The following is a 13,465-nucleotide window of genomic DNA, read 5'->3' on the forward strand; positions in this document are numbered from 1 at the left end:
CATACCACAACTAAGGAGATGCAGGGAAAGCAGTGTTAAGAGGGAAGTTTATTGTGGTAAATCCTTACAGTGAAAAAGAAGAAAGATCTCAAATCAACAGCCTATCTTTGTGTTTCGAGAACTAGCAAAGGAAGAACAACGTAAACCCGAAGTTAGCAGAAGGAAGGAAGTAATAAAGATTAGAGCACAAATAAAGGAAATGGAGAATAGACAAATAATAGGAAAAAAAAAACAATGAAACTAAGAGCTGGTGTCTCTGAAAAGGTCAACATAGGTTAAGCAGATTAAGAAAAAAACAGAGAAGGGTCAAATAACTAAAATCAGAATGACAGAGGGGCATTACAATTGTTACTACAGAAATAAAAAAGATTATAAGGAGAAGACCAGGAACAACTATACCCCAACAAATTTGATACTTTAGAAGAAATGGATAAATTCTGAGAAACGTACACGCTGCCAAGACTGACTCCTGAAGAAATAAAAAATCTCAGCAGATCTCGACAACTCATAAGGAGACTTAACCAGTATTCATCAACCTCCCAACAGAGAAAACCGCAGGACTAGATGGCTTCAGTGGAGAATTCTACTAAACAGTTAGAGAAGAACTAGGACCAGAAACGCGCGCGCACACACACACACACACACACACACACTTCCCAAAAGAATGTTTGTGCATACATATTCAACAAAAGTCTAGCACACCGAGTTCAACAACACATGAAAGGCCCATGACCACGTGGGATTTATTCGTGGAATGCAAGGAAGTTTCGATCAATGAAAATCAACTAATTTAGTGTACGGCATCAACAAAATGAAGGACAAAACCACATGATCGGCTCAATTGATGCACTAAAAGCATCTGACAAAAGTCAACCCCCTTCGTGATAAAAACACTCAAACTCCTTGAAACAGAAGGAAACAACCTCAACGTCACAAAAGTCCTATATAAAATACTCATTGTGAACACTGTACACGATGGCGAAAGAGTGAAAGCTTTTCCTCTAAGATCAGGAGCAAGACAGAGATGCCCGCTTTTGCTACTTCTTCTCAACATAGTCCCGGAAGTTCAGAGGGCAATTAAGCAAGAAAATGAAATAAAAGGGCATCCTTTTTATTTCACTTCATTTTATTTTTAGAAAAGGCATCCTTTTTATTTCCTATTTTCTAAATAACCCATAGCTCAAGGAAAACATCACCAATGAAATCGCAAAGTATTTTGAACCTGATGAAATCTTATGGGATATATTTTAATTGTCTAGATTGCATGAAAAAGAAAGGCACAACATTTGCATCTTTCTTAACCATGTTGAACAACAGATTAAACCTGAAGAAAGCAGAAGAAATGAAATAACGATAAAAGTACAAATCAGTTAAAGATAAAACAACACAGCCAGAGGTGGTTTTTTGAAAAGATGATGTGATTAAGACATGCCTTGTGTAGGCCTGAACAAAAAGGAGAGAAATCATGAAGCAACCCGTGTCTGGAGTGGCTAAGGAGACATCACTATGGGCAATGAAGGCATTAAAGAGATCATTATTCAAAACCATGAGCAACTTTATGCCCACAAACGTGAAACTTTGGATATAATTTACACATTTCAAGAAAATACAACAAAATGACAGAAAACAGACTAAACATCTGAATTGTCCTACAAATTCTAAACGGGCGGAATCTGAAGGAAACAACAGCAACAGCCACAAGAACCTACGGACTCTGATGCTGCCACCGATTAATTCTACAAAACGTTTGTGAAGGAAGGAATATCAATCTTACCTTCTTGCCAAGTAACATAAAAAACGGGAAATGCTTCCCATCCCGTTTTATGAGGGAAAAACCTTAAAGGGCATGGTAAGAAATGAAATGCACAGGCCTATCTTTTACATAAGCACAGAAGAAGAAATCTTGAATAAAGCATTAGCAAAACAAATCAGTTAAATCTCCAAAAAGGAAAACGTATCACAAACAAGTCAAGAGTATTCTAGAAATGAAGCGGTTCAGCGCTTGAAAAATCTATCTCTCAGAAGTAATGTATGAAGGAGAAAAAATATGATATTCCCTACAGACGCAGGAAGGGTATTTCATGGGTTTGATTTTTTTTAAATGACCATGCACTTATGATAAAACCTCTTAGCCAACTACGAACAAAAGGGAAGTCTCTTGATTCCGTTGGAATATATTTTAAAAGCCTACAAAAACAACGATACTTACGGGTGACATGTTGACAGCTTTCCCTCTGAGATCAGGGGGAAAAAAAAACCAGATACATCCACTGTCACCACTTACAGTGCCATGAAGGAAGAAAAAGTAATCAAAGCAGTCCTGCAAGCACAGCCTTAAATGCATACGCATGTTAACCAAAGGACATCCTTGTGAACGTGCACCACAATAATAACACTAACACTCCAGCGCTGGAAACTACTGAAGAGCCCATTAGAAATAAAAGGCATGAATAAATTGTGGCATCGTCATACAATTCAAAACACTGCGCAGGAATGCAAAGAAACGAAATTCAGCTACACAGCACGACAAAAGTGAATAGCAAGGAGAAAAACCTAATGTTGCCAAGAGAAACCCGGATTATAAAATACGTACTGTACTGAGTCTACTCATGTGTAATGCGTTCACAAACAGGCAGGATTATCGTCAAGTGTTAAAAGTCACAAGAGTGGTTAGATTTGCTGAGGTGGAAGACAAGAGTGACTGGCATGAGAGTGCTTTTGAGCTGCCGGCAATACACTACACCATTTCTTAACCCAGATCGTAGGGGATCAGACGTCCCTGTGGAACCATTTACTGAGTGGTACCCTCATTTTGCGTGCAACTCCATTTTTGTATTATATTCCATTACAGTGTACATAGAGATATTTAAATGAATACTATCCCAGGAATGTCCATAAACAATGGATTCTTCAGCGATTTGTATATTCTCTGACCACAATGCCACAATGGGATCTAGAAATTAATAACAAAAGATCATTACAAACCCCCGTATATGTTGGTAAATTAAGAAACATCCTCCTAAGTAACCCATGGCTCTAAGAAAAACTAACGTTGAAATAAGAAAATATTTTGAGCTTACTAATGAAGCAAACTCCAGAGGTCTTTGCCTGCCAATATTACTAAGTCTCCTCTCTGGGGAAGTTTAGATTACACAGGAAGACTCTCCTGCATCTCTGAGAAGGGGCAAGATGCCAGCAATCTGGACGCCAAACTCCAGCGGAGGTGAGGGACTGAAGATTGCTGTAGACAGCAACTGAAATCCCTACGCCGGGTTGGGATGTATGCCTTGAAGTGAGCCTGAAGTTCCAAAGCCCATAAATCTGCTGGTTCATGCTCTGCAGAGAGTACATTTGTCCGCCATCTCCCAGAGTGGGGGGAGAGCGATTTGTCATGCTACGAGGAGCTGAGAGGGGATCTGGGCGTCTAAGTGATTTGTAAATACACTTTCTAGAGCAATCGTGCAATTTACAGCCCCCACCATTACCAACAACGTGCCGGGATACGTGGCAATGCCAGTGTTGCAGACAGTTGGAAGGTCTGGTGAGAGGGGATAAGTCAGTTGCTTTCCTGCCATCCTCACTGCCAGTTGATGCTCAAGCTCTCTTGGCAACACAAGTGAGACTCCGTCTGTAAAAAAACAAAACATAAAAAAAAAATTAACATGTACTCCCAGCTACTCTGGAGGCTGTGGCTGGAGGATCCCTTGAGCTCAGCAGTTCGAGGCTACAGGGAGCTATGATCATACCACTGAACTCCAGCCTGGGCGACAGAGCGAGAACCCCCCACACCCTCAAAAAAGATCAAGCTCTCTTAATCAGCTAAGTCAGTGTCACTCACCTGTTTCCTTCCCATCTTCTGCTACTTTCTTTCTCTTGTCTCCTCAGCCAGTTTCTTTGTCTTTATGGGGTAAAGCCTTAGGAGAAAAGGATGCAGCCAGGAAAGAGGGAGGGGGAAGAGAGGTGAGAAGTGAACGTGAGAAAGAGAAGGGGTGAGTGAAGTACATGACCAAAGGTGCCCTGGGGAAGCTGGGAGCAGGAACAAGGGTCCCCGGGCGAGTTGAAACTACCCCTCATGCTCTTTGGTCTGTTGGGTGCTCAGGTTGCAGGAAATGGGCATCCGGTTGGACTTCATGAGAACTCACACCTTGGGGTGTGGAGGGCAGGACACCATGAGAGGAGTCCCACCCTGCTGCAAAAGATAGAAGAGGAGAGTTGCCCCCAACATAAAAGGGAAGGCAGTGACAGAAAGAGGCAAGCAGAGGATGGTGGATGGCAGAACAAGGACTATCATCAATGACATTTTCTTCACTGAGCCCACCCCAGAAATGAGCTCCCTTCCTGTGCGCTCTCACAGCTCCTTGTCGTTGAATCTCGTATCACTGATGGTAATTTGCAGAGGAATAATTAAGTTGGTGATTCACTTTAGGATGTACTGCCCTCCGAGGCTGAAAGCTAAACACATAGAGCCCACGTTACGCCCAGTACCACTTAAGGAACTGCGGATTAGTCACTGGGTGAGTATCAGGGGAGGGGAGGGCGGGGAGGGTGAGGGGAGGGAACGGCATAGAGAGAAGGAAAAAGCAAAATGAGGGGAAAACCAGGGGAGGACAACATGAGAAAGGAAAGAGGGAGAGAAAGGGCAGTGAGGGATATGGGAACTCGGAGGGAGGACAAAGGGAAAGACAAGGCATGGAGGAGAGAGAGCAGAGAGGGGAGATGAGAGGTGATGACAGAGGCTGAAGTGAGGTAGGAAGAGAGAGGAAAGAGGAAAGGAGTGTAGAGGAAATGGATGAGGGAGTAAAGAGAAAGGAACAAGGGGAGAGGTCCTTTACCAAAGGGTGATTGATGAGCAGGGGGCAAGAAGAAGGGGCAGCGAGGGAGAAAGGGAAAGGAGGAGAAAACTGCCAGCTTTGAGAACTCTACCCTGCCCCTGGAAAGAGGGGATCCCCATCCCAGGTCAACCTGGGGCTCCCCATGGGACTATCTCAGAGGGAGGAGCTGGATAAGCCAAGAAAGAGCAAAGGGTGCACGGGACCACTCTTGCCTTGCTGCATGTGTCATTCAGGGCCTTCCCACCCAAACAGGGGGACTGGTCACATCAACAGCCACCTCTGCTGAATCCAAGCTCTGCACCGGATCCTCCTTTCCCCTGCCAGATACGGGTTTCAACAAGCAAATTTAAGGGAATCACTCCCCTTCCTGGGATCCCTCCCTGACTGTATCAGTTGCAACCCCTTTCATGGTCACAGAGGCCTGGCCTCTCCCACAAGAACCCTATGGGCCAGCCAGTGCGATGCTCTGTACATCGTATCTGTTCAGGATGAAGCCTGTGTGTGTGTGTGTGTGTGTGTGTGTGTGTGTGTGTATGGGGTGGGGGTGTGTGGGATGTGTGCGTGTGTGTGTGTGTGTGTGTGTGTACTAATAATCACAAGGATCAATATATCTGTGGGAATTGTGAATTCTTTCAATGTGACTGCCTTGCTAGAATCCCCTCTCCCAGGGGCCTTTATTTCAAGGACCAACTCTGCTTTTCTCCCACAGCCCAATGAATGCATCAGACACTCAGCTTCAGTTCCCATGGCAACAGGGGCTAATGGCCTAGAGACTAAAGATGAGACAAAGAGAAACGCAGAGAAATGTGCGTGTTCTGTCTTCCTCTGAGGTACGCAAGCCCCTATTCAGGGATTGAAAAGAACATTCGCTTTAGTTCTACCCTGCCCTCCCCTCAATGCTGGGTGGAGGAGGGCAGAAACGCAGACGGGCCTGACATGAATCCAGAATTTCTACATCCTCTCAATGCACCTGCACGGTTTGGAGACAGGCTTCTTTGTCCCCGAGCCATCATGTTACCAACAATGTATTGTACCTGCAAACCATGCCTGTGGAACCTAGGATTCCTGCTACCCCAACTCACCTTCCTCTTTACCACCCTCTAGCCTCTATCACAGTAGGGGAGTTTTTTCAGTCATTCCTATTTTCTGACAGAAAGTTCCAGCCAGCCCAATTTCAGAAGCGCTGTCTCAGGAGGGCTCCCTGATCCTTCCTGCCAGAGTCACACAGGACACACCTCCTCCCTCTTCTCCTCTGTGGCCTGGGAGACCTCTGCCCAGACCATGGGACAAGTTCCTAGGGCTCCCCCTTCCTGCCACACTCCTGTTCCGCCAGGGCCTTGGGGAGACTCAGACGAGGGAGGTTTCTGATAGTCTCCCACTTCTGGAAGCAGCCAAACTAATGAGAGGCCTCTTGCCTGCCCCTCTTCCTGAGAAGCCCACCACCTCCTGTGTATTGACTCCCCTTACCAGAGGCTGGACAAACAGCGTGCCAGGCCCGACATGAGACGTCCCACACTATAAATTTGTGATAAACAACAACTCAAAAGCTGGGCATATGCCCCCAACTTTCCCTCCCTTCTTTCCATTTATTCCAGTGAGTCTCAGAAGTCCCTTTGTCCAGCTGCACTCTCCTCTCCTGGGACCCAGCTGCCCTCCATTTCCCATGTCCTGGAACCCCTCAGTCCAAAATACCTAAGTAAACTCGTCTTCACTGCAATGTGCAACCCACACCCACAGCCATGCCCTACGCCAGAAGGAACCACATGAAGTTCTGCCCATCTTCCTGACCTCCACGGATGTTGCGCGACATCCAGTCTCCTCTGGGTCAGGGGGTTTGTCTCATATGCACTCCTGAGTGCCCACCTGCCAGTGACTCCCCTGTGTTTCACACCCCTCTCGGGGGATCTCAGATCCACTCGGCTCCTGGTCTCTGTCTGGATGACCACGACCAGTTTCCCTTGGAGAAGGACCAATGGGGAATGGCAATGCCAGGAAGGCAACGCTTCGCTTGACTGCTCTGCTCCTTAAATCCCCAAAAGCACCACTCACAGGACTGTAGACGCTATGCCAGTTACAGACTTCAGCGAAGGGTCAATAGTGACTACATGAAATTATAGTGGAACAAACTACTAGTGAGCGATGGCTAAGCATCCATGCTGCTAGAATCCAAAAAGAATCACCCATCCCCTGCCTCCCACGGAAAAGATAAGGTCTTCTGAGGACATTCCATTTCCGGTGAATTCCCGTTCATGGCTTTTCTTCCTGTTTTGAGCACTGCCCTTTTCTCTCCCTGGAAAGAAGGAAGTCCCTCCATTAATCTGCTTCATTGTAGGGATTTCTTTATCTCTCAGTAATGGGATCTGTCTATGTCTCCACCTCCCTGTGAACATGTGAACACCCAGAGACAATCACCAAACACTAAGGAGCTATGAGTGTCACATCATAATCCCTCACCTAGCTCTGCGCAGTGGCTCACACCTATAACCCCAGCTATGCAAGACACCGAGGCAGGAGGATTGGTTGAGGCCAGGAGTTGGACACGAGCCTGGTCAATGTAGCGAGACCTCATCTCTAAAATTATAAAAATAGAAAAAATTAGCCTTATATGGTGGCACGCATCTGTGGTCCCAGCTACTCGGGAGACTCATGCAGGAGGATCACTTGAGCCCAGGAGTTTGAGGCTGCAGTGAGTTATGACAGCACCACTGCACAGAGCTTTGGGAGGCTGCACTTTGAAGGCAGGAGTTCAAGACCAGCTTGGGCATCACAGCGAGACCCCAACTGCAGAAAAAAAATAAAATTAAATTTAAAAAAATTAAAAATATCTCTGACCGATACATTTCTCAAAATTTGAATTTGTCAGTTTACATTAACCTTCGTTACTCAGCCTGGATCCTATGGACTTCAAACTTCATTTCCTCATCCTCTGGACATCTCTGCCCTGCCAATCCCTCATTCTCAATTTGGCCATCCCCGGGGATGGAGGTTATCAGCATGGCTTTAACTGAGAGCATGAAGCATGGGGCTGGTGGCTCATATTTTTAACAAAGCCAGCCTCTCTGGTTGACCCCATCTTTACCCCTCACTGTTTCTCACAGTTTGAATTCCTGCAGATGTCCACTGTTTCTCTGCATCTTCAAATTCTTCTGCTCCAGTGGCTATTCCCCTCAGCATACAATTACGCTCCACTGTCCTCCATTTTAAACAAATACCTTCCCTTGGCGACACTTCCCTACCAGCTGTTCTCCCACATACCTGCTGCCTTTCACAGCAAAACTTTTCTGGTAAGTTGTCTGAACAGGTTGTCACCACTTCCTCATCTCCACCTCCGATGTCTTGCATGGCCTTCTGTCCTCCAATATGCTTTTTTTCTTTTTCATGCTCTTTAGTAACTTACATGATGTCAAATCCAATTATCATCCCTCTGACCTGGCTTGCCCTCTTAGTAGCATTGAACGTGCTGGCCACTATCGGTCTCTTGAGATCTTGTGGATTCCATGAAACCATCTTCTTCTGGTGATCTTCCTTCCAGGATAGATCCTATTCTTTGAGTTGTTTCCTGGCTCCTCTTCTTGTAAACTCCTCTACTTTTTGATATGCTCCAGATTGTGGCCTTGTTTCCTCCTTTTCTACATTTTTTTCTCGAAGAAATTTCCTTTCACTTTACAGATGTAAATAACACCTACATCTGCCACCTCCTGTGTCCATCAGAATGTTTGGTTAGCAACAACAGAAAAACACTCACGATTGCTCAACCAAAAAAAAAAAAAAAAACAAACAAACAAACCTGATGCAAGAATATCAGGTTGCACACGAAGTCAATAAGAGGGCTGCATAACCAGAATTGGAAAGCAGGTAGGATCCACGGGAGTCTGAGACATAGAAACAATCACAAAGGTCATGCCTGAGAAATAGCTTTGTTTTGACATTGTTCTTGCAACCTTGCTACTCTGCCAGAGAGGCCGCTTTGGAAGCCTCCTACCACATTTAATTTTTCAGCCTTATGGAAGTCTTCGTATAGGTTTCGTTTTGTAATAATTCAAAAATATCCCTCCAACTTGTATCCTAATATACTAGCATGTATGTTAACTTAGGAATAAGTTATGAACATTTTGAATTCCTTCAGAGATTCTTTCCTCCTTCATTAAAAGAAACAGCTTTATTGAGATATAATTCAGATACCACAAAGCTCACCCTTTTAAAGTGTACCGTGCAGTGGTTGTTAGTATATTCCAAAAGTTGAGCAACTCCCATTCCGTAGGTGGCCTTTTCACCGTGTTGATTGTTTCATTTGGTTCACCATAGGTTTTTGTTTTCGTTTTTGGTTTTTGCTTTCATTTTATTTTATTTTTTATATATATATATATATATATATATTTATTATACTTTAAGTTCTAACGTACATGTGCAAAACGTGCAGGTTTGTTACCTGTTGGTGTGCTGCACCCATTAACTCGTCTTTTGCATTAGGTATATCTCCTAATGCTATCCCTCCCCCCTCCCCCCTCCCCCTACCCACAACAGGCCCCGGTGGGTTCACCATAGGTTTTTGGTTCGACTTAGTCTCACCAGTCTAACGTGGCTTTTTGTTGCTTGTGCTTTTTGTCATATTCAAGAGATAATTTCCAAGTCAAATGCCATGGAACTTTTCACCTATGTTCTCTTCTAGGAGATTTACAGGAAAAGATATTTGAAAAGGATATATATGATAAGGGATTAATATCCAAGCTATACAAGGAACTCCTACAACTCAATACCAAAAAAGAAGACAACAAACTGACTAAAGAATGGGCAAAAGACTTGAATAGACATTTCTTCAAAGAGGACATGCACATGCCCAACAGTATATGAAAAAGTGCTCAACGTCACTACTCAGCAGAGAAATGCAAATCCAAACCACAATGAGCTATCACCTCACACTTTGAACGATAGCTATTATCAAAACAAAAAAGAAAGAAAGAAGAAAGAAAGAGAAAGAAAAAAGAAAGAGAAAGAAAGAAGAAAGAAAAAGAAAGAAAGAAAGAAAGAAAGAAAGAAAGAAAGAAAGAAAGAAAGAAAGAAGGAAAGAAAAGAAAGAAAGAAAGAAAGAAAGAAAAGATAACAAGTGTTGTTTTGGAGAAGATGTGTAAAAATTCCAACACGGGCACACTGGAGTAGGCACATAAAGCGGTGCAGCCACTATGGAATACACCGTAGTGGTTCCTCAAAAAATTGAAAATAGAACGACCATGTGATCTGGCAATCCCACTTTTGGGTATATATCCAAAAGAATTGAAATCTGGACCTCGAAGGGATATATGCACTCCCACCTCTATTGAAGCATTACATCTAACAGTCAAAATTTAAAAACAATGTGGAAACAACCTAAATGTTCATCGACAGATGAATGGATATTAAAAATGTGGTATACACATAAAATGGGACATTATTCCACTTCCATGAAGAAGGAATTCCTGCCATCACACCCAAATAATGTGGGTTCTAAATATTTCAGCTATCTAAAATAGTCAAATTTAAAAACCAGAGTGCAGTGTCGGCTGCTTGAACCTGGAGGGAGGGGGAAACAGGGAGTTGCTATTCTATGGGTATAAAGTTTCCGTTGTGCCAGGTGAATACATTCTTGAGATCTCCTGTACAACCCTGTGCCTATGGTTAAGAATATGGTATTTTGCACTTAAAATTTTAGTGAGGGCGGATCTCATGTTACGTGTTCTTAGCACAATAAAATAAAATTTAAAAAACGGAAAAGTTGTGCAACTATCACAACCATGTAATTTAAGAACTTTTTTATTCAAAAAACACGCTGTATGTATTTAAGTGACCTAATCTCCCCTCTTCTTCAAACCACTGGTACCCTCTGATCTATCTTCTGGCTCTCTGATTTTGCATGTAGTGAATGTTTCCTATAAATCAGATCATACAATGCGTGACCTTTTGGACCGGCTTCTTTCAGTAAGCACTATGTTTTCCAGATTAATCAATGTTGTGGCTCGTACATTCCATTAACTACCATATAATGATACTACATATTGGTTACTCATTCAACTGTGGATGGACTTTTAGATTCTTTCACTTTTTGGCTACTATGGAGGAGGCTGTTATGGACACTCTTGTACAGGATTTTACCTGAGTTATTTTTTGAAATCTCTTGGGTGAACACCTGGAGTGGACTTGCTGGGTCATAAAGGAACTCTTACTTTTGGAGGAACTGCTGCACCCTCTCCCAAAGTGATTGGGCCATCTTACAATCCCATGAGAAATGTCTTAAGATTCCAGTTCCTCCACAACCTTGCCAACATTTGTTATTGTCTATCTGTTTGATTTCAGCCATCTTAGTGAGTGGGAAGTGGTATCACAACGTGGATTTGACTTGCACTTCCCTAATGACTAATGACACTGAGCATCTTTTCTTGAGCTTATTAGCCATTTGTACATGTTCTTTAGAGAAATGTCTATTGCAATGCTTTGCCCACTTTTATTTGGGCTGTGTGTCTTTTTTATTAGGCAGTCGTAAGTGTTTAGTAGATATTGCAAATAGAGTCAAATATGAGATATATGATTTTCCAATCTTTTCAATCATCTCATAAGTTGTCTTCCCTGTCCTTGATGGTGGGCTTTGAAGCACAAAAGTATTTAATTTTAATGAAGTACAATTCCTCTGTGTTTCATGTTTTTCACCCGTGATATGGGTACCATATCTACAAAGCCAATTCCAATTTCAAGGTCATGAAGGTTATCCCCAAAGTTTTTTTCCAAAAGTTACATAGTTTTTTTCCCCTTAGGTTTATGTCTATCATTCATTTTGAATTAATTTTCAGGCATGGCATGAGATGGTGGGTCCACTTCATTCTTCTCCATGGGCATAACCATTTGTCCCAGCACCGTTTGTGGAAAATGCTATTCTTTCTCACTTTGAGTTGCCTTGATACACTTGTGGAAAATCAACTGAACTTAAAAGAAGAGGTTTATTTCTAAAATTTGCATTTTTATGACACTGATATATATATGCCTAAATTTATGCCAGTACCACAACACATTGATTACTGTAGCTTTGCAGTAAGTTTTGAAATAGAGACGTGTGAGTCCTCCATCATTGCTCTTTTTCAAGATTGTTTTGGCTTTTCTGGGTCCCTTGCGTTGCCAAGGGAATGTCAGAATCAGATTGTCAATTATGGCAAGAAGATCCTGGTGGGATTTGAAACGGTGAGTATGTTGTATCTATAGATCCACTTGTGGACTGTTACTATTTTAATGATACACAGTCTTCCCCGTCCATGTGTAAGGGACACCTTCACATTTCTTTAGGTCTTCTTTAATTTCTTTCAATAAGGTTTTGTAGTGTTCTGCGTACAAGTCTTACACTTCTTTTGTGGAATTTATTTCTAACTATTGTGTTTCTTTGGATGCTATGATAAGTGGAATTGTTTTTAAAGTGTCCTTTATTGGATTATTCATTGGTAGTACAAAGACATAAAATTGTATGTTTTACATTGATGTAGATATTATATGGAATAAATTCAATGACTCGTCCTGATAGTATTTTCTTTTCCGGCTTCTTTAGTGTTTTCTATGTACAAGATAATGTCATCTGTGAGCAGAGAGAGTTTTACTTATTCCTTTCAAGTCTGGAGGTCTTCTATCTCTTTTTCTTGCCTAAATGCATTAGCTAGAAGCTCCTGTACAATGTTAAATAGAAATGGTGAGAGCACACATTGTTGCTTGTTGAGGGTGAAAGTTTTCAGCCTTTCACCATTAATCATGATGGCAGTTGTGAGTTTTTGGTAGAGTCTACTGAGTTGCAGAAGCACCTTTTTTCTCCAGTTTCTTCATATTTTTTTAATTGTGAAACGGTTTTGGATCTGTCACAAGTTTTTTCTGTGTCTACGGAAACGATAATATGGGGTTTTTATTTGGTTAGTGTGGTATATTATATTGATTGATTTTTGTACGTTGAACCAACTTTACATTCCTGGAGCAAGTTCCACTTGGTCTTTGTGTAAAATCTGTGTGTGTGTGTGTGTGTGTGTGTGTGCACGTGTGTGTGTTGCTGGATTAGGTATGTGTGTAATTTGTGGAGGAGATTTGTGTATACATAACAGATATGCATCTGTAATTAGGTTAGTTATTTCCTTCTGATGCCTTGTCTAATTTTGGAGTTTGGTTAAAGTTGGGCTCGAAAAACTAGCTGGGAAGGGCGCCCTTCTGTTCTTGAGCAATCTTGTGAAGCTTTGGTGTTAAGTGTCCTTTAAATATTTGGTAGAATTCCACCAGTTAACCCTGGACTTTTCTTTGGGGGAATATATTTGTTAGTAATTCAATCCCTTTACTTGTTGTAAATCAATTCAAATCTTCTACTTCTCCTTTAGGCAGTTTCAGTAATTTGTGTGTTTCTGGACATTTGTCCTTGTCACAAGATTATCTAATTTGTTGCCATGCTGTTGTTCACAGTATTTCCCATAACCTTTTTATTTCTGTAAGATTGTATTAATATCCTATATTCTAGTTTTGATTTTTGTAATATGCATCTTTTCTATTCTTTCTTAGTCTAGCAAAAGCATGTCAATTTCGTTGATCTTTGTTAATGAACCAACTTTTGGTTTGGTTAATTTTCTCTATTATTTCCTATATTCTTT

At 42.1% G+C, this 13,465-nt stretch overlaps 1 long non-coding RNA gene across 2 annotated transcripts in view; it reads right to left on the bottom strand.

Annotated features, from left to right (window-relative positions):
• Positions 1-18: 18 nt before the first annotated feature.
• The window catches only part of LOC105377209 (uncharacterized), a 70,327-nt gene continuing 56,880 nt past the window's right edge, over positions 19-13,465 (bottom strand). The window contains exons 2-4 of one of the 2 annotated variants that reach the window (XR_938385.3): positions 3,839-3,914; positions 3,486-3,628; positions 19-2,953 (exon numbers count right to left, since the gene is read on the bottom strand). This is a non-coding gene — a long non-coding RNA (uncharacterized LOC105377209). The remainder of the gene's footprint in view (positions 2,954-3,485; positions 3,629-3,838; positions 3,915-13,465) is intronic. The other variant, XR_938386.3, reaches the window with a different exon arrangement.

Source organism: Homo sapiens, chromosome X (assembly GCF_000001405.40).
Source record: "Homo sapiens chromosome X, GRCh38.p14 Primary Assembly".
Classification (NCBI taxonomy): Eukaryota; Metazoa; Chordata; class Mammalia; order Primates; family Hominidae; genus Homo; species Homo sapiens.